This window comes from Homo sapiens, chromosome 5, assembly GCF_000001405.40.
Source record: "Homo sapiens chromosome 5, GRCh38.p14 Primary Assembly".
Classification (NCBI taxonomy): Eukaryota; Metazoa; Chordata; class Mammalia; order Primates; family Hominidae; genus Homo; species Homo sapiens.
In genome coordinates, this window is record NC_000005.10 from 17,441,123 (window position 1) to 17,462,733 (window position 21,611).

General features: G+C 39.1%; 2 long non-coding RNA genes across 5 annotated transcripts in view; both read left to right on the forward strand.

The window, feature by feature from the left end:
- The window catches only part of LINC02217 (long intergenic non-protein coding RNA 2217), a 37,676-nt gene extending 37,104 nt beyond the window's left edge, over positions 1-572 (forward strand). For all 3 annotated transcript variants that reach the window (NR_134275.1, NR_134274.1, NR_134273.1), the window contains exon 2: positions 347-572. This is a non-coding gene — a long non-coding RNA (long intergenic non-protein coding RNA 2217). The remainder of the gene's footprint in view (positions 1-346) is intronic.
- Positions 573-2,887: 2,315 nt separating this feature from the next.
- Positions 2,888-21,611, forward strand: part of LINC02218 (long intergenic non-protein coding RNA 2218) — a 39,937-nt gene continuing 21,213 nt past the window's right edge. The window contains exons 1-2 of one of the 2 annotated variants that reach the window (NR_134271.1): positions 2,888-3,112; positions 4,505-4,808. This is a non-coding gene — a long non-coding RNA (long intergenic non-protein coding RNA 2218). Of the gene's footprint in view, positions 3,113-4,504; positions 4,809-21,611 lie in introns of those variants that run through there. The other variant, NR_134270.1, reaches the window with a different exon arrangement.

Genomic DNA, 21,611 nt, shown 5'->3' on the forward strand with positions numbered 1-21,611 from the left:
TGTTCTTTTAATTCTTTTTGTTTCCATAATTCACTGATCTCTTTATATGGATTTTTTTTGCAATTAATTTGTCGTTTTTAGTTAGTCTAACAGGATTGTATTCTCCTGCAACTAACGGCATTCTATTTATAACCACAAGTCCCCTTAGGGTCAACTTTTAAGAAGCCTTGGGCAGCTATGTTCTTCCAACCTAACAGTCCATAAGATCTTCCCCTATTTTTCCAGAAGCTTCAGATGAGACTATCACAAAGAAAAGTATGGACATATGTGACAAATAGAGATTACAAATTAAATTCTTACTGTCCAACATGAAAAACTTGACTGTCCTTTTTTTCTGTGTGTCCAGATATACAGGGAGTCCACGGAGCCTCCCCTGCAAGCATCAGTACAGAAGTCGATGATAATCTGGATGCAAGCCCAGGAGTGTGGAGTCCACTGACTCAGAAGACCTGCATCTAAGGAATTGGCTGTTCTTATCCTTAAGAATGATGACTGTGTTTCCAATTCCAGTAGACCCTTTGATGCGTTCTGAATAAATATTCCTTTTGGAATTGAACTTCTAGAGCCCTTAACTTTGGCCCACTCTAGTTTTCTGTCTGTTTTTTTTTTTTTTAATATTTTTTTTTTGTAAAGATAAGGTCTTGCTTTGTTGCCCAGGCTGGTCTTGAATTCCTGGACTCAAGCAATCCACCTGCCTTGGCCTCCCAAAGTGCTGGGATTATAGGTGTGAACCATTGTGTCCGATCGCTCTCTGGTTTTTCTAATATCATGATCCCAACTCTGTTCTTTATGTAAATTTCCCTGATCACATGGTTGTATCTTGGCATTTCAAAATCCTTGACAGACTTTGTTTTGTTTGAATTTTACAATGAACTTACATGACTAGGCACGGTCCCCAGTTCAGTTTTATAGACAAGGATTCTGTAGGTCAAGAAGTGAAACACAACCAATAACAGCAGGTGACAGGATTTAAACCTGGGTCACTTTACTTATTTTTTTCTACTCTATCATTATGTGAATCTATCCTACCTCTGCAATGACAGATGGCCCTAGAGCAAGAACACTTCCTTACATCTGGTATACAGTCAAAAAGTAAAAATTCCACACAAATAAATATGGAAAGAATTTTTACCTGCTCCTATAGCTTCCTTTCAGGGACCTGGCACCCACAAATGTTGGGTAACAGAAAGAGGACTTATGTAACTTAACTCAAAGCAGAAAAGTTACAGAGACTGTCTTAGCATAATAGAGCATGGAGTGGTCATGCTTGGATGTGCAAACTGTCTGATAGTCTTGCACATGGCTTGACCCCGAATTACACTAGTGGGGCAAGTTGCCTGGGGCAAAGCAAACTTATTGGACCCAAAGCTCTCATTTGAGAATTTTGTTGACTAAAAGTTATAAAATATCAGCAATTTCATATGGTTCAGCCTAATATTTTATCACTCTTCCTTTTTCTATTCTAAAACAATAATTTTTAATAACGTAAGCTATACACATACATGCTTTAAACATACAACACCCTGACTATCATATAGTGGATATTTCAAGAAGTAAATGTTCAGCATGTCTTCACCCCCACTTGAAGACATAATGTATGTATTAGGCTGTTCTGGCATTGCTATAAAGAAATACCTGAGACTGTGTAATTTATAAGAAAGGAGCTTTAATTGGCTCACGGTTCTGCAGGCTGTACAGGAAACATATTGGGTCTACTTCTGTGGAGGCTTCAGGGAACTTTGACTCATGGTGGAAGGTGAAATGAGAGCAGGCACCTCATGTGACTGAAGCAGGAGCAAGAAAGAGAGAGCGAGCAAGGTGCCACACACTCTTAAACAACCAGAACTCTCTCTTGAGAATTCACTCACTGTCTTGCCGTCAGCACCAAAGGGATGGTCCTAAACCATTCATGAGAAATCCTCCTCCATGATCCAATCACCTCTCACCAGGCCCTACCCCCAACACTGGGATTACAATTCAACGTGAGATTTGGGCCTGGACACAGATCCAAACCCTATCAATATATTAGCCAGATACTTGCAGCTGTATGAAGAATACCCTGGTTACCCAGCTACAAATGCAGATGTTATTGATAAGGGAGGGGGGCAGGGAAGTGCTGGGAGGAGAAAGCAGGTCTCTGGCGAGGGCTTCACCCCGGTGCCTGTGCCCACAGACCTAGGTAAGGGCAGGCACTCCTGCCTTTGCGCCCAAATGTTGCATTTCCCAAGACCACCCTGGCCCACCACGCCCCCATCCTGTGCCTATAAAAACCCCGAAACACTAGTGGGCACTCACACAAGCGGCTGGACGTCCAGAGGACGTCAACAAGAGCACGCCGACAGGCAGACCCTGGCAGGCCATCGACTGGCGGAAGGACATGGAGTTTGGCTGCGTGGTTGGAGGAGAGCCAGGCCGCTAGGTGGCCTGACTCCAGGAAACTACACCTTCCCACTCCATCTCCCTTCTGTCTCCCCTGTCTGCTCACAGCTACTTCCTCTCAATAAAACCTTGAACTCATTCTCCAAGCCCACGTGTGATCTGATTCTTCCGGTACACCAAGGCAAGGACCCTGGGATACAGAAAGTCCTCTGTCCTTGAGATAAGCCAGGGGGTCTAATTGAGCTGACTAACACAAGTCGCCTACAGATGGCAAAACTAAAAGAGCACCCTGTAACACACGTGTGCCCACTGGGGCTTCAGCTGTAAACATTCACCCCTAGACACTGCTCTTGGGTTGGAGCCCCACAACCCAGCCGTCCGCATGCTCCCCTAGAGGTTTGAGCAGTGGGGCACGGAAGAAGCGAGCCACTCCTCCTGTTGCACACCCTGCGGGTGGCGCAAGGGAACGTTTCCTGTTTCATCATCAGGGATATTGTATCGGTGTCTTAAATAACACTAGCATTTTGACATATTTGGAGCTGCTACTGGGCCAGCTCTGTTTCCAGGCCTGCCTTTCAATCTTTTCCTTGCTTCTGGCATGAGTTACCATCTCTTTTAAGAAATTGGTTATGCATTTGAAAATACACGTAGCTATACATACTTTAAACATATCATTTAGCAAGGATGCTCCTTATCGGACCGTTGCTGGGAACAGAGAACACGACAGTTCCAGGTGAGCGAAATAGTGTGATCTCATACATGATGAAAGCTAAGCAGGCAACAGCTTTTCCGTAAGCAAGCATTTCAAAATGTATTTGTAGAAAGGCAGTAAAAGAATAAGATGCAAATCAAGCTATTTTTAAACCATCGTTTTCAGGGCCAAGGAAGAAATTATGAGAATGAATTTTTTAAAAAAAGATTATAAGGTCTTTAGTGGTGTTTTTAGTTGAAGTAATTTAGAGATGATTAGGTATTGCTATTTTTTATTCAATTCTTTACAACAAAAGCTTACAGAAATAGAAAGCTTTGCCATTTCTTTTCCCCACAACTTTAAAAAGTAAAGAGTGAGTGTTGGGTCACAATAATCTTTCTTTTTTAGTCTCCTTTTTGTGCAAATTCATCCACCATCAAATTACATTGTACTCCTTCCTCCTCTGTGACTACCTGTGGAAGAATGTTTATATAAATAAACCCAAAGGCCTGTCTTTTTGTCTGTTGCTCTGAGTAAGTGGTGCAAAATAGATGCCTTAGTCTGGTGATTTGATTTAATACAAATGGACCTTGTTAGAACACTTCTTTACACCTGAGATATTGGGAGATTTACTTGTAACCTTCCTTGCTACGTGAACAGCAGTAGTATTTGCTGTTTCTAAGATGTGTTGTAGTTTGAAAGATTTTGTTTGTATCATGCCAAAGTGACTGCATTAAGAAGTTCCTAGTTGACTGATTAAAACAAAACAAAACAAAACTCCTTTAATCATTCAGCTGTTTGACCTATGCTAGTGTATAGGTGCTATACACAATTATATATTTTGATGCTTTCTGTTTTATTATGTGGCAGTGTGTAGTCCCAGTATTTATGCTAATTATATCGTTCTTTGGAATCCAGTTTTTCTTTTTGTAAATTTGGATTAAAGTCTATCATGGCTCCTTTCAAAGAGAGCACTAAATGTAAATGGAGGGTTCTTTGATACCATTAGAGAGATGGGACTGAGATCTCAAAGAAATAGGCTGCACTGGCTCTGGGGTGAATGGGTCCTATGACTTGTAGGGCTTCAGAGTAGGACACACAACTCTGGGGCTAAAGCTCAGGACATTGGCCATGCAGTTGAACATTTCTGCCCGTTCTTTCCTGGTCCTGCCCTGTGCAATTTCCAGCTTCTGTAAATACATATTGAAGGTATGTATACATAGCAAAGGTGTGCCAAAGTGTACAGTTGCTCAGATTATTTGCACACCTTGGTTTGGCCCTGGCCAGTTGAAGGAGTCATGAGGAAATACCTTGCTGCGATGACTTCTGTCATTCATTTCTCTGTGTATATTGGTACTAATTGATTTTTTTTGGCAGAGTTTAAAGTACTTTTGAACTTTTCCCCTTTCTTCTCTCCTCTGCTTCTTTTTCCAGACTGTTTCCAAGATTGGATGAAGAGATTCAATTGACAATGCTGTGAAGAGAGGGATTTGGAGCTTGTTGGGGGAGGTAGTGTTGACTTCCTTGTGCAATCTAGGATTGAGTGGGGGATGCAGTTGGAAGGCAAGAGAAGTAAGACTCCTCCATCTTCCTGGTCCAGAGAAATTATGCTGGATCCCCCTACCCTTAATGAGAAAGGAGGTGTTTGTGTTTCCAGCATCTATGAGATCTGATTGCTAATGTAGCTACCTTTAAAGAATTCTGCTATTTACAATAAAAGTGAGATCTCCCTCCTCCATCCTGTGTTACACAGCCTGGGATTGCACCGTTGTTCCTGGCACCTTTGCATTGCAGGAGCCTGCCTTTGACTTTCTTTCCTCTCCACACATCTTCTATTCCTGCTGCTTCTCTTTTCAGAAAGTGCTGAGCTTCTAGGCTAGTGTCCCTCTCAACGGATGAATATTCAGCAGAGAATGGAGAGCTTTCAACCGTAAGAATCAGGATGTGGCTGTTTATAAAGTTATTGCATTTTTTTGAAGAGTGGCTGCAATTAGTTTTGGTGTTAGGCAGCAAAAACCCCAAAATGTTCTTTCTGATTTCATGTTGCTTGCATAATACAGATACCCATTTACTGGAAGAAATCTTCATGGGTAAGTGTATGAGTGTGTATGCATAAGTATGTGTATGTGTGTGTGTGACTCCACATATATTCCTAGAGTGCCTTCTATGTGCCAGGCATGGTGTTAGTTGACATATGTAATTGAGAGTAAAACAGTCATGATCTCTGCTCTTAACCAATTTACAATCTAGGATAAAATAGACCTTCCATGTTCAAATCCACAATGACATTAATTGCAATATGATCATTGTTGTGCTTGAATAATAGCTAAGAAAAGCACAAAGAACTTACAAGGTGGCTTAACAGAAGAACATCATCTAGCTTAGAAGTCTGGATAGCCCCTTTCTAAGAAAGCGGTACGAGTAAGGATGAATAGGAATAGGCCAGATAAAATACGAAGCCAGGAGTTGGAGGTGGACACGGGGGAGGGAGGTGACATTGTACTGATGGAGAGATGTGGAGAGCTGAGGAGGCTGATGAATGTAGAGAAAGTTGAAGTGTCACTGGATTGCAGTTCTTGATAGGTAGAAGTGTTGTATGAGGGGACGAAAACAAGGCCATTGGAAAGGGAAGTTGAAGATGGTGGTGGTGGTGTTTGTGAAGGTATTTATATTATTGCAGAATTATCTGAAGTGCAGTTTCCAATGTTAACCAAATTCATGGTGTGACTGTGGAAGTTGGTGCTTGAGGTGAATGATGACAACTATCAGTGGGTATCAGGGTAAGGAACTGCTGGGCAAGGTGTTGATGGTGCATCCAAGTGATGTTAAATCTGCTTAGCATGATGGTAGGGTTGGGTGAAAAGGAGACTATGAGTTGAGTGCTAAATTCTTTAAGGAGTGACCAAATGATTAAGTGAGGACTAGAGGGAGAAGAAGCTCTTATTGTCAACTACTCAAAGGAGCAACTTACAAAAGAGAGTGCAGTCATTCGTCTGCAAGTGGCATTGGGTAGTCAGGAGGACGTTGCCTTGGTTCTGATACTGAGATATTTGGAGTTTGATGGAAAATATCTCCCAGCCCCTGCTTGAGAGGAGAAGCAGTATCCTTAGGGGACAGTGGGTTTCAGTGAAGTCGAGAAACTGTGGTGTGTGTGTGTGTGTGTGTGTGTGTGTGTGTGATAACTTTGAGATAATGATGGGTTAGAAACATGTAGATTAAGGTAAGAAGAGACTACCCTCAGGCATTCATCTAAACTTTGAATTTCTTCTAGAAACCTCCTCTCAAGTCACAGTCAAGTGATCCAGCAATTGCAAAATCACTCTCTTCTAATGTGTACCATTTCACTTGGTAGCTCTTTCTGTTGAATAAATGATACTCTATATAATAGACACTCAAACATTCTAGTATTTTCTATGCAAATGTGTAGAAAAAAGTGTTTGGGGGTATGAAGTCAGGGTAGGTAGGCTGAAAGATGATTTTATTTATTTATATTTGTTTCTGTAGTGCTCATGTGATTTAAAATACAAAAATTAGACATATATGTTGGAAAAGTGCATCAAAACCTGAAAAATTAATTTACAAACATTTTATGCTATGGTTGGAGTTATGAATGTAACTTGTCTGAAGATGCTTCCTGATCATTGTGCTTCATTTTCTTCTTATTTGTACTGTAAACATTGTACAGTTTTTATTTGACAGATGAACATTAGCACTGAAGAAGCAAATTGAATAAAATATAGGCATTTAAGTTAATTTAAAATGTAAGTTTTATTTTATTTTTGGATGGGGTCTTGACTGCATCCTGAAAACATAGCTGGTCTTTTTATTACCTTAGTGTAAGCTGTGTAGTCAAAAGAATAGTGGGAATGGTCACTGTGTGTGAGTATTGTTCCCGAGGTAAATTCTGTCCTAGGCAACTACTAGCCAAAGGATCTTTCAGAAATACTCTCCCAAACCACTGCCCACTGGATAGCAAACACAGTATCTATTTTAGAGGAAATTATTGCATTAGATTAAAATGGTTAAATTGTCTTAACATGCCACGATCTTATCTTTTAATGAAAACATTTTTTATTAACTTTTTTTAAAGGAGGACAACTGCTCTTCAGATTTCTCCCATGAGAACTGGAGATTAAACTTTGATTTTCCTCCTTTTATCCTCCCCGACAGAAGCTGTATATTTTGAGGATAACCACTTGGTTAAAAGCAAAATAGCCCTAAATAAACACACATACCTCAAAATGAATGAGCATTTCGGGTATAGTCTTAGATTTCACAGTGTCAAACTGACTGGGTTGAGAAAGCCACCAGAATTTCATAGCTCAAAGTTCAGGTTTTATACAGGATTTATATGTCCTGTAGAATATTTTGTTTGCTGCAGTTTGAAATGATAGTATCTTCTTCTCTAGGAAACTAATGTTTAACAGATAAGTGCAACCAGATTGCTAACAGGAGCTGCAGGAAAAAATTTCACCATTTTGAATGGGGTTTGTGTTTACCAGTACACAAAATGTATGCCTGTATTATCCATTATGTGAAAATATCCATAATTGTTAGAAAGATAAAACCCATGTTTGCCAGGAAAAATCAATTTTTTCCATGTCTCTCTTTGTGCCCTGTGGTTTTACAATTTCGTTTTCATTTTTAATGGTGTTTTCTGTTTAAAAAAGCTTATTTGAAAAAATTAAACAAAAATTGTATACATTTATTGTGTACAATGCAATATTTTAAAATATGCATATATTTGGAATGGCTAAATGTAGCTAATTTTCATATGCATATTTATGATTTTTGTGGTGAGGACACTTAAAATCTACTCTCTTAGAAATTTTCCAGAATACAATACTGTACATTGTTATTAACTGTAGTCACCATATTGCACAATAGAACTCTTGGACTGACTACTCCTGTCCAGTTGAAATTTTGTATACTTTGACAAACATCTCTCCAACCTCCACCTCTCTCCCCACCAGTTCCTTGTAACCGCCATTCTACTTTCTGCTTCTGAGAGTTCAACTTCGTTAGATTCCACGTGTGATATTTGTCTTTCTGTGCCTGGCTTATTTCACTTAACATAATGTCCTCCAAGTTCACCCATGTTTCACAGATTACAGAGTTTCTTTTTTAAGGCTGAATAGTATTCCATTGTGCATATATATCACATTTCCTTTATCCATCCCTCCATTGTTGGACATTTAGGCTGATTCCATCTTTTGGCTATTATGAATAATGCTGCAATGAACATGGGAGTGCAGATATCTCTTTGACACATGGATTTCATTTCCATTGGACATATGCGGTATGCTCAGAGATGAGATTGGTGGATCATATGGTACTTCTTTTCAAATTTTTTTGAAGAATCTCCATATGGGTTTCCATAATGGATGTACCAGTTTATATTCCCATGTGCATTGTTTTCTGACATTGATAAAGCTGTAGATCTATTCATTTCACAAACCTTTATTGTGTGCTTACTACACAAAAGCATAATGGGAGGTGCAGTTGATACAAATAAAAGGCACGGTCTTCCTCAGAAGCAGATATGATAACTATTTATTAAACAAAGATGGCAGAGGTGGGCAACTGACCACATGTGAGAAGAGTAACAAGGAGAGTGGAATCTAGGATGATGTATATTTTGGCTTGGGCTATTGAGCTGATGGGGAATATATATTTTTTGAAGTGGAATATACTGTCACCTTATTTCTAAGTAGGGTCAAGTTGGAAGCCAAATAAAACTTTCCAATATTGGTTCTTCTAGCACGTTAATAAAATGTACTTTGTGATTATGAGCAGCTGGTTTGAAGACTGATTCATTTCTACTCCTGTTACCTTGATAAATAAGAAATAAATTTCATGGACAAGAACTCATCATTTGAAATAGATGGTAACAGTTGATTACATGAGGTGATTTACAAGGAGGTCCAGCACATGCATGTAGTGTGCTAATCCTTGCCACGTCAGTTTTCTGTTAATTAATACAAATGTTGTTGTGTAGTTTTTGGTATTCTGACTCAAATTGAGAAAATGTATACACTTTTATATACATGTATTAATGTAAAACTTGGACCTGGAAAAGCAGAGGTTTCTAATAAATTAGCCAACATTTTCTTTGAAGAATTCTTGGTACCCTGAAGTACTTTCTCTAATGATTGAATTGTTATTGTTGGAGACCAATTCTCCACAGACTTTTTGTATTTCTGTATCTCTTGTGAGTGAGCGACTAACTGTCCTTCATTCTGAACTATCTTTTCAGGGACATTTGTGTTGTGAACAGTCTTGGAACATAGAGCCAGTGTCTCTCTCTGGAGCAAAGGCCAGGCATGCTCACTGCCCATTATAAAGGATTCAGATTCCCTAAATTCAATATTCCTCTTCTATAGCACAATCACTGAATATGTAGGTACCATCTGGTTCTCTTTGCATCACATTGCAAAAATGGAGGCCTGGTTAACTGGTACAAAAAATGCTAATACTTTTGCTACTGCTATTGTCGTGAGTACCAAACTATTCTTTGTCTGTGACCCAGGAGTCTAGTGTCTTCTACCAGCATTCATGAAACTTTTGTCAGGCTAACTTGTTAGTTTGCAAGAAGGGTGAACTCTCAGACCCTTGGCGGTTTTTGTTTTTGTTTGTTTGTTTTGTTTCGTTTTGTTTTTTGAGATGGAGTATCGCTCTGTCGCCCAGGCTGGAGTGCAGTGGTGTGATCTCAGCTCACTGCAACCTCTGCCTCCTGGGTTCAAGCTATTCTCCTGCCTCAGCCTCTCGAGTAGCTGGGACTACAGGCGTGTGTGACCACGCCCGGCTAATTTTTTGTATTTTTAGTAGAGACGGGGTTTCACTGTGTTAGCCAGGATGGTCTCGATCTCCTGACCTCGTGATCCACCCGCCTCGGCCTCCCAAAGTGCTGGGATTACAGGCGTGAGCCATGGTGCCCGGCCTCCTTCGCAGTTTTTGATGGTTAATGCACTTTAGTGTCTTATCTTCCAATCCGTAGACTCTATTCTACCATAAAATAGGAAACATTCTAACTTTTCCAGCATTGAGAGGATGGAACTCTAAGTTGTAGATTGACATGGTTTGGCTGTGTCCCCACCGAAATCTCAACTTGAATTGTAGCTTCCAGAATTCCCAAGTGTTGTAGGAGGGACTTAGGGGGAGGTAAATGGATCATGGGGACTGGTCTTTCCTGTGCTATTCTTGTGACAGTGAATACGTCTCACGAGATCTGACGGGTTTATGAGGGTTTTCTGCTTTTGTTTCTTCCTCATTTTTCTCTTGCTGCCACCATGTAAGATGTGTTTTTCGCCTCCTGCCATGATTCTGAGGCCTCCCCAGCCATGTGGAACTGTTAGTCCAATTAAACCTCTTTTTCTTCCCAGTCTCGGGTATGTCTTCATCAACAGTGTGAAACAGACTGATACATAGATGAAATAACAAAAAGTCAAAAACTACTACATCTGCTTGTCCTTGTGATTGCAAATGAATATGGTGCCTATAATACCTCACATTTATTACATATCACGATTTTTGAAACCTCTCACTGAGAAATATTGGAGTGTAAGTGTACATTTAAAGCAATGGCTTTTGTGAAATGTGAATATTTACTACCACTCATAGTTCATTTATTTTCAGCGCATTTAACTTTTATCTAAGCACCATAAAGAAGTGTTTTGCTTTCTTATTGTAATCAAGTTTATTGAGGTGTAATTTATGTGTAATAGATTGCATCCAGTGTACAGTTTGATGAATATTGACCATTTAACATGCCTGTAAGATCACCATCACCATCAAGACACAAAACACTTCCATCACCCCCAAAGGCTTACTTGTACCCTTTGACTAAATGGATTTCGATAATGTGTGTAAGCCCTTGATAACGAGCAATTTGGGAATAATTTCTACTGAGGAGTTTTTGCTAGTTTCTTATTTTATTTACTTTTTTAATTATCATAAGCATTAATATTTTATTTTTTTTCCTTGGTTATTTGCTTTGATTTCTGTTTTCCTTTTAAGGGTCCTCTTTTTGGTATTTCCTTCTCTTTCATATCTGTTGGAGCAGAAATACCAAATAATATTTTCATGAGCTTACATAAATGAGATAAATAGAATAAATTTGAAAAAACATCAAGATTAAGTTGCCTCAAAGGAAAAAAAAGTCACACAAAAAGAAGGTGGGAATTAATGTACTTGAGTATGGAAATTAATTAAGCAATAAAACTATGATGACATTTATTTTTGTAATTCAGTTATGAATCATGCTTAAATGTGTACTTTATTCACTTTAATTATAGTGTTTGATTTTAAAGTTTTTCTTTCTCTCAATTATTGATACATTTTCTAGGGAAGTCTTTCTCAAGTATTTGTTTTCATGTGACTTTTTATAATCATGGCTCTCAAAATCTAAGGATGGATTTTGGACAGCCCATTTCTCTCAGCAGTGTAAAATGAGTCACATGGGTCACATTTGTCTTGAGTCCCTTCAAAGACTGGAATGTGAGTAGAAATCGCAGAGCAACTTTCCCACGGCACTAATTGCATGTGAAGGACAAGACACTTCCATATTGTAATACCAAATATAAAATAGTGCAAAAAAAATCATTGGTTAGAACTGTTCCATTTGTCATACACCTTCCAATTTATAAAACAGGAATTTCTCTCTCTTCTCCCACCCTGTTGGAGGATCAGCTTTATTTTTCAAAATTTGGATGGAAGTCAGTCTTCAGTCTGCTCTATCTGAAAAGAGAAAAATGCTTGCAACAGTTTGAAACACTATAAATTGGAATACTTGAAGTCGGTTATCTAGGATTTTTATATCACTCCTCTTCCAACCTCCCGCTTCTCACTGATGAGGGTTTATTTCTTACTTTGAGGGGAAGAATACACAGCAACTGTAAAAATGTAAAATAAAGTGAGTTCATCTGATTAGTCTGCAATCTCTCTCTTTTCGTTTGCATCTGGAAATTCTCAAGTAGACACATAGAAACTTGCAGCAAGCACGCTTTCTTCCTGTGTGTTTGTCTGCACCTTCCATGCCATTTTCCAGCCATGCTTGTCTTTTGTTAGGAATTAGATGGTCAGAATGAGAATAATTTAAAACATTTTTTAAAAACTTTATTTTTTAAGGACACTTTTAGGTTCATAGCAAAATTGACAGAAAAAAACAGAGATTTCCCGTATATCCCTCCTGTCCCCCTCACCTGGCCTCCTCCATTATCAACACCTCTGGCCAGAGTGGTACCCTTGTTACAATCCATGAGCCTATACTGACACATGATTATCACCCAAAGCCCAGAGTGTACTTTAGGGTTCCCTTGGAGTTGTATATCCTAGGGGTTTAGACAAATATGTAATGACATGTACACAGAAAAATAAAAATTTTAGGTCAACATCTCACCTTTCCTGTTCAGTATTAAATATGAAGCAATTGTTGTGCCTTTTCCAAAAATAGTCTGCCACAAGGAGCAATAAGTAATCAGAATTTAAGAGGAAGGAAAACGGAAAATCAAGAGGCCTGCTTTACATGAACACACACACATTTTATAACTTCTATTATACTTTAGAATGTTATTCCACTGGATTCTGGATTTCTAGATATCACACGAAAGTTTAACTGTAATTAGGAAGTACTTAGCCCAGGGTGTGGCAGGGTAGTCTGGGCTCTGTTTAGAATTGGGTCAACTTGCGATGCATCAAACACTCAGAGCGAGTATTTTTTTTGGGAATCATCCACCTGAACAGGGAAATTTTCTAATTTGCACTAAAGTGCAGTACCAGCTCTCAGAACATGATGAATTGAAGACAATCACACTCCCCCTCCTTTGCAGCAAAAGCATTTTTTACACCGGAGATCTCTGTGGAATTGTGCCTAGTTGGTATTATCTATGCAGGTTATAAGTATGAGATGTTTTGATCCAAGAAAAAAAAAGCATTTTTTGCCTTTTTCTTGTTTTTGTTTGCTTGCTTATTTTTATTTGTTTGTTTTCACTACTGTACCAGTCCAAGGAATCACTGGCCAAAAAGGAGGACAAAGTCATAATTGGGAAATAAAGGAGGCTGGTGGGAACTGGAAAGACCTGAATAAGTGGTTCATCAAACTGAGAAAACTGAGAAAGCAAAGCTCAGGGAAAGCAAAGCTCACTACTGAGAAAGCAAGGTTCACTACTGAGAAATTGTAGTAAGGGTGGGAATGGGGTTGAAAGAAATGCAACTCTATTGTAGACAACAGAAAGGCCAGTTCAGGCACTAACTCATAAAGGCAGTGCATCTGCCCTGGTTTTCCTTTCATGAACAGCTAAAATACTAGGTGGCATTGGACATGGCAAAAGCACATAATAGGATGAGGAGGTTGGTTTTGAAATTTGGACTAGGTCAAGATTTCTGGCTCATAGAAGTTAGTTGATCGTGGAGCAGTCAATGTGCACAATGGGTGTCAGCAGCTAAGGCAGGCAATGGGGAAGCCAGGCAACGGATCAGAAACCTGGAGGAGAGGTGTGGAGAACCCAGAGTCTAGACCTATAGTCTGGGAAGAAAAGATCAGTAAGCCTGGTCAAAGATTTCAGGAAGGAAAGATTTGGATATCAGCACAGGTGCTGAGTTGTGGCGTGTCAAGTACAAGAATGAAGCTTGATTCCAAGCTTAGTGCCACAGGATCTTCTCTTTTCTGTGTATGCACAGAACTGTGTGCAATTTCGACAAGGCCTGAGCATGCGGTTTGCAGAAAGTAAGTTCTGCTTGATCTAAGTGTGGTGTTTGAACAAATGGAGAGAAGTAAATTTCTGATGCATAATTCAAACGGGAATATATTTATAATTATAAAGGAAAACCAGAGGGGCATTGTCAAAGTGGATGGTTATGCTCAGGTAAGAAAAAGGCATAATCCTCCTCAAAGTATCATTTCTTTACATAAAAGCCTAGAAATATTTTCTCATTCATTTATTCATTAGTTCATTTATACATTCATCAAATATTTATTAAATGTCTACTACATGTCGATATGTTTAACATCTTGCAAATTCACTTTAATTAATAACTTTCATTATTTGTCTGTTTCAGTTTTCAATAATGAAGTCCATCTCTCTAATAATGTTAGCAATTAAAAATGGAGCCACTGTTGAGGCAAGTTCAAGCTCTGGGGAATTATGAAATTTACCAGAAAACATTGATGACAATGGAGAGAAACAGGATAAAATTATAAGAGCCTGAGGTGATGGTTTATAACTAAAATATTGATTTGAGAATGAATTAACTGAACCACTTAGCTACGATAAGAGTGAGGATGGACATCCATAATGGGAGTCATGATTGATTGTACGGTCATATAGAAGTTGGTCAAAGTCCCCAAACTGGATGAAGAAATCAATTTGGTGGCTTCCTTTACATTTATTATTTGAAATAATTTTAGCAGGAAATAGTAGATTAAAAAATGTAATGGCATTTTTTTTCTGGGCTCTGGCTCAAGTGGTTTGCCAGAAATAAAGTCTAAAAGGCTCTCCTTACTGTTATATTTGTGACTTGCATGTATGAGCCAGTTATTGTATTCTCCTGAAAGAATGGCTGTTTTTATTTAGTTCTGATTTTACCACAATGTGTGTGTGTTAGTGTGCATGAAAACACAGCATAGGATGTGTTGGGGTTGCAAGGAATAAACCTAGAACTGAGGCATGCTCCTCTATAAGCAAAGACTGTTTTGAGTAGCAAATTATTTTAAACTACAAATTCTACCCAGGTGGTACTGTAGTATTTTTCTTGGCCAAACTAAACGTGAATTATTCATCAGATAAAAATTCTATTGAAAGGAGATAAGGTAGGGATTTGGAAAGAGAAGTGTTGCTTATTTTTGTTTTGTTCTGGTAAACGTGAGGGACTTTGGATAGCAAATGGGCAAGATAATGATATTGGCCATAGAAAGAACCATAAAGAAGAGGGAAGGGAAGTGGAAGGTTTCAGAAGGGAAGTGAGAGGATTCATGTTTGCCTTGGAACTGAAGTGCCACTACACACCGACTCTTCTTCCCAAGTTAAATTATAAGGAGAATTTGTATTTATACATTTAGATGTCCTTCAATTTAATCCTTTATACCAGAACCATGTTAATTCAGCCCAGTCTTTTTCTGATGGGTTACTCCCTATCTCCTCCTCCATTTGGTGGGAAGAGAAGAGGAACAGACAAGAGGAAAAACAAACTAAAAATAAAAGTACTATGAGAAATTTATGGCTGGGCGTGGTGGCTCACACTTTAATCCCAGCATTTTGGGGGGCCAAGGTGGATGGAACGCTTGAGTCCAGGAGTTTGAGATTAACATAGACAACATGGCAAAACCTCATCACTACAAAAAATACTAAACATTAGCCAGGTGTGGTGGTACACGCCTATCGTCCCACCTACTTGGGAGGGTGAGGTGGGAGGACCACTTTAGCGCAAGAAAGTTGAGGCTGCAGTGAGCTGTGGTCACACCACTGGACTCCAGCCTGGGTGACAAAGTGAGAACCTGTCTCAAAACAAACAAAAAAAGAAAATTCATGGCTGGGCTTGGTAGGTCATGCCTATAATCTTAGCACTTTGGGAGGCCAAGGTGGGTGGATCACCTGAGGTCAGGAGTTTGAAACCAGCCTGCCTAACATGATGAAACCCCGTTCTGCTAAAAATAGAAAAATTAGGCATGATGGCCTGTAGTCCCAGCTACTCAGGAGGATGAAGCAGGAGAATCGCTTGAACCTGGGAGGCATAGGCTGCAGTGAGCCAAGATTGCGCCACTGTACTTCAGCCTCAGCAACAGAGCGAGACTCTTCCTCAAAAAAAAAAAAAAAAAAAAGAAATTCATAAGAAATATTTATCTATATTTTCTTTGTTGTTAATGTCCTTAATTGTTCATGAATACATGGATCTTTTCCCGATTTCTAGGACCCAGTGAATGCTAAAGCTATGCTGTCAAGAATGAACTCTGTTGACACAATGGATTCATGTTATATGCCCATTTAAGACATGCAAATTCTACTATAGCTTGACAAGAAATAAGAATTTACATATAGAAAATGACTATGCCTTTCATGTCACCCAGTGAGCGTGTGCTCTGCTATGAGAATGAGATGGGTGATGTAAAGCTGTAATCTCAGCCTCAGTTTCTGGCTGTTATTCATGGCATGAGCATCTGAGTGTGCTGAGATTCTGGTAGTATTATTTAACCAGCCAGCTAATGGACTGGCCAACCAACTGACCTTTAAATACTGACCCTTGGTTGGGCGAGGTGGTTCACTCCTGTAATCCCAGCACTTTGGGAGGCTGAGGTGGGTGGATCACCTGATGTCGGGAGTTTGAGACCAGCCTGACCAATATGGAGAAACCCCGTATCTACTAAAAATACAAAATTAGCCAAGTGTGGTGGCATATGCCTGTAATCCCAGCTACTTGGGAGACAGAGGCAGGAGAATCACTTGAACCTGGGAGGCAGAGGTTGCGGTGAGCTGAGATCACGCCATTGCACCCCAGCCTGAGCAACAAGAGAGAACTCCATCTCAAAAAAAAAAAAAAAAAAAAAAAGAAAAAACTGACCCTTATTTGGTCTTTATTGCCCAAATACCATTTCCTGTGCTCTTTTCTTTTTTTTTTAATTTTTAATTATTTAATTATTTATTTATTTATTTTTGAGACAGAGTCTCAGTCCATTACACAGGCTGGAGTGTGTTGGGAAGATCTCAGCTCACTGCAACCTCCACTTCCTGGGCCCAAGCAATTCTCGCACCTCAGCCTCCTGAGTAGCTGGGATTACAGGCACACACCGCCACACCCAGCAAATTTTTGTATTTGTATTTGTTTTTTTATTTTATTTATTTCTTATTATTTTTCTTTATTTCTTCTATTAAGAAATGGGATACATGTGCAGAATGTGCAGGTTTGTTACATAAGTATATGTGTGTCACAGTGGTTTGCTGCACCTATTGACCCATTCTCTAAGTTCCCTCTCCTCACCCCCCACTCCTCAGCAGGCCCTGGTGTGTGTTGTTCCCTTCTCTGTGTCCATGTGTTCTCATTGTTCAACTCCCACTCATAAGTGAGAACATGCAATGTTTGGCTTTCTGTTCCTATGTTAGTTTGCTGAGGATGATGGCTTCCAGCTTCATCCATGTCCTGGCAAAGGACATGATCTTATTATTTTTTATGGGCGCATAATATTCCAAGGTGTATATGTACCACATTTTGTTTACCCAGTCTATCATTGATGGGCATTTGGAGTGGTCCCATGTCTTTGCTATTGTAAATAGTGCTGCAATAAACATATATGGGCATGTGACTTTATAGTAGAATGATTTATACTCCTTTGGGTATATACCCAGTAATGGGATTGCTGGGTCAAATTGCATTTCTGGTTGTAGATCCTTGAGGAATCACCATACTGTCTTCCACAATGGTTGAACTAATTTACATTCCCACCAACAGTGTAAAAGCATTCCTATTTCTCCACAGTCTCACCAGCATCTATTGTTTCCTGACTTTTTGATAATCGCCATTCTGACTGGTGTGACATGGTATCTCATTGTGGTTTTGGTTTGCATTTCTCTGATGATCAGTGATGTTGAGCTTTTTTTCATGTTTCTTGGCCACATAAATGTCTTCTTTTGAGAAGTGTCTGTTCATATCCTTTGCCCACTTTTTGATGGGGTTGTTTTTTTCTTGTAAATTTGTTTACATTTCTTGTAAATTCTGGATATTAGACCTTTGTCAGATGGGTAGATTGCAAAAATTTTCTCCTATTCTGTAGTTTGCCTGTCACTCTGATGATAGTTTCTTTTGTTGTGCAGAAGCTCCTTAGTTTAATTAGATCCAATTTGTCAATTCTGGCTTTTGTTGCAATTGCTTTTGGCATTTTTGTCATGAAGTCTTTGCCCATGCCTATGTCCTGAATGATATTGCCTAGGTTTTCTTCTAGGGTTTTTATGGTTTGGGGTTTTACATTCAAATCTCTAATCCATCTTGAGTTAATTTTTGTATAAGGTGTAAGTAAGGAGTCCAGTTTCCGTTTTCTGCATATGGCTAGCCAGTTTTCCCAGCACCATTTCCTGAATAGGAGATCCTTTCCCCATTGCTTGTTTTTGTCAGGTTTGTCGAACATCAGATGGTTGTAGATGTGTAGTGTTATTTCTGAGGTCTCCTTTCTTCTCCATTGGTCTATACATCTGTTTTGGTACAAGTATTATGCTGTTTTGGTTACTGTAGCCTTGTAGTATAGTTTGAGGTCAGGTAGTGTGATGCCTCCAGCTTTGTTCTTTTTGCTTAGGATTGTCTTAGCTATACAGGGTCTTCTTTGATTCCACATGAAATTTAAAATAGTTTTTTTTCTAATTCTGTGAAGAATGTCAATGGTAGTTTGATGGGAATAGCATTGAATCTATAAATTACTTTGGGCAGTATGGCCATTTTAACGATATTGTTCCTTCTTATCCATGAGGATGGAATGTTTTTCCATTTGTTTATGTCCTCTCTTACTTCCTTGAGCAGTGGTTTGTAGTTCTCCTTGAAGAAGTCCTTCACATCCCTTGTTAGCTGTATTCCTAGGTATTTTATTCTCTTTGTAGCAATCGCGAATGGGAGTTCATTCATGATTTGGCTCTCTGTGGGCATATTGTTGGTGTAAAGGAATGCTTGTGATTTTTGCACATTGGTTTTGTATCTTGAGACTGCTGAAGTTGCTTATCAGTTTAAGGAGTTTTTGGGCTGAGATGATGGGGTTTTGTAAATATATAATCATGTCATCTGCAAACAGAGACAACTTGATTTCCTCTCTTCCTATTTGAATACGCTTTATTTCTTTCTCTTGCCTGACTGCCCTGGACAGAACTTCCAATACTAGGTTGAATAAGAGTGGTGAAAGAGGTCATCTTTGTCTTGTACTGGTTTTCAAAGGGAATGCTTCCAGTCTTTGCCCATTCAATATGATACTGGCTGTGGGATTGTCATAAATAGCTCTTGTTTTTGAGGCATGTTCCATCAATACCTAGTTTATTGAGAGTTTTTAACATGTAGGGATGTTGAATTTTATCAAAGGCTTTTTCTGCATCTATTGAGATAATCATGTGGTTTTTGTCCTTGGCTCTGTTTATGTGATGGATTATGTTTATTGATTTGTGTATGTTGAGCCAGCCTTGCATCCCAGGGATTAAGCTAACTTGATCATGGTGGATAAATTTTTTGATGTGCTGCTGGATTTGGTTTGCCAGTATTTTATTGAAGATCTTTGGATCATGTTAATCAGGGATATTGGCCTGAAGTTTTCTTTTTTTGTTGTGTCTCTTCCTGGTTTTGGTATCAGGATGATGCTGGCTTCATAAAATGAGTTAGGGAGTAGTTCCTCCTTTTCAATTGTTTGGAATAGTTTCAGAAGGAATGGTACCAGCTCCTCTTTGTATTTCTGGTAGAATTCAGCTGTGAATCCATCTGGTCCTGGGCTTGTTTTGGTGGTAGGCTATTAAATACTGCCTCAATTTCAGAACTTGCTATTTTCTATTCAGGGATTTGACTTCTTCCTGGTTTAGTCTTGGGAGGGTATATGTGTCCAGGAATTTATCCATTTCTTCTGGATTTTCTAGTTTATTTGCACAGAGGTGTTTATAGTACTCTCTGATGGTAGTTTGTATTCTGTGGGGTCAGTGGTGATATCCCCTTCATCATTTTTTATTGTGTCTGTTTGATTCTTCTCTCTCTTCTTCTTTATTAGTCTAGCTAGCGGTCTGTCTATTTTGTCAATTTTTTCAAAAAACCAGCTCCTGAATTCATTGAGTTTTTTTGGAAGGTTTTTCCTTTCTCTACCACCTTCAATTCTTCTCTGATCTTAGTTATTTCTTGTCTTCTGCTAGCTTTTGGATTAGTTTTCTCTTGTCTCTCTAGCTCTTTTAATTGTGATGTGAGGGTGTTGATTTGAGATCTTTCTAGCTTTCTGATGTGGGCATTTAGTGCTATAAATTTCCCTCTTAACACTGTTTTAGCTGTGTCCCAGCGATTCCAGTACATTGTCTCTTTGTTCTCATTGGTTTCAAAGAACTTCCTGATTTCTGCTTTAATTTCATTATTTACCCAGGAGTCATTCAGGAGCAGGTTGTTCAATTTCCGTGTAATCATGTGGTTTTGAGTGAGTTTCTTAATCCTGAGTTCTAATTTGACTGCACTGCGGTCTGAGAGACTGTTTCTTATGATTTCAGTTCTTTTGCATTTGCTGAGGTGTGTTTTACTTACAATTATGGGGTCGATTTTAGAATAAGTGCCATGTGGCACTGAGAAGAATGAATATTATGTTGATTTGGGGTAGAGAGTTCTGTAGATGTCTACTAAGTCCACTTGATCCAGAGATGAGTTCAAGTCCTGAATATTCTTATTAATTTTCTGTCTTGTTGATCTAATACTGATAGTGGGGTGTTAAAGTCTCCCACTATTATTGTGTGGGAGTCTAAGTATCTTTGTAGGTCTCTAAGAACTTTCTTTATGAATCTGGGTGCTCCTGTATTGGGGTGCATATATATTTACAATAGTTAGCTCTTCTTGTTGAATTGTTCGCTTTACCATTATGTAATGCCCTTCTTTGTCTTTATTGATCTTTGTTGGTTTAAAGTCTGTTTTGTCAGAGGCTAGGATTGCAACCCGTGCTTTTTTTTTTTTTTGCTTTCCATTTGCTTGGTAATTTTTCTCCATCCCTTTATTTTGAGCCTATGTGTGTCTTTGCATGTGAAATGGGTCCGCTGAATACAGCGCACTGATGGGTCTCGACTCTATCCAATTTGTTAGTCTGTGTCTTTTAATTGGAGCATTTAGCTCATTTACATTTAAGGTTAGCATTGTTATGTGCGAATTTAATCCTGTCTTCGTGATGCTATTTGGTTATTTTGCACACTAGTTGATGCAGTTTCCTCATAGTGTCATTGGTGTTTATATTTTGTTGTGTTTGTGCAGTGGCTGGTACCAGTTTTTTCCTTTCCATATTTAGTGCATCTTTCAGGAGCTCTTGTAGGGCAGGCCTGGTGGCAATGAAGTCCCTCAACGTTTGCTTCTCTGGAAAGGATTTTATTTCTCCCTCACTTATGAAGCTTAGTTTGGCTGGATATGAAATTCTGGGCTGAAATTTCTTTTCTTTAAGAATGTCAAATATTGGCCCCCAATCTCCTCTGGTTTATAGGGTTTCTGCTGAGAGATCCACTGTTAGTCTGATGGGCCTCCCTTTGTAGGTGACCTGGCCTTTCTCTCTGGCTGCCCTTAACAGTTTTTCCTTCATTTTGACCTTGGTGAATCTGATGATTATGTATCTTGTGGTTGATCTTCTCATGGAGTATCTTAATGGTGTTCTCTGTATTTCCTGAATTTGCATGTTGGCCTGTCTTGCTAGGGTGGGGATGTTCTCCTGGATAATATGCTGAAGTGTGTTTTCCAGTTTATTTCCTTTCTCCCTGTCTCCTTCCGGTACTCCAATCAATTGCAGGTTTGCTCTTTTTATGAAGTCCCGTATTTCTTGAGGCTTCGTTCATTCCTTTCCATTCTTTTTTCTCTAATCTTGTCTGCA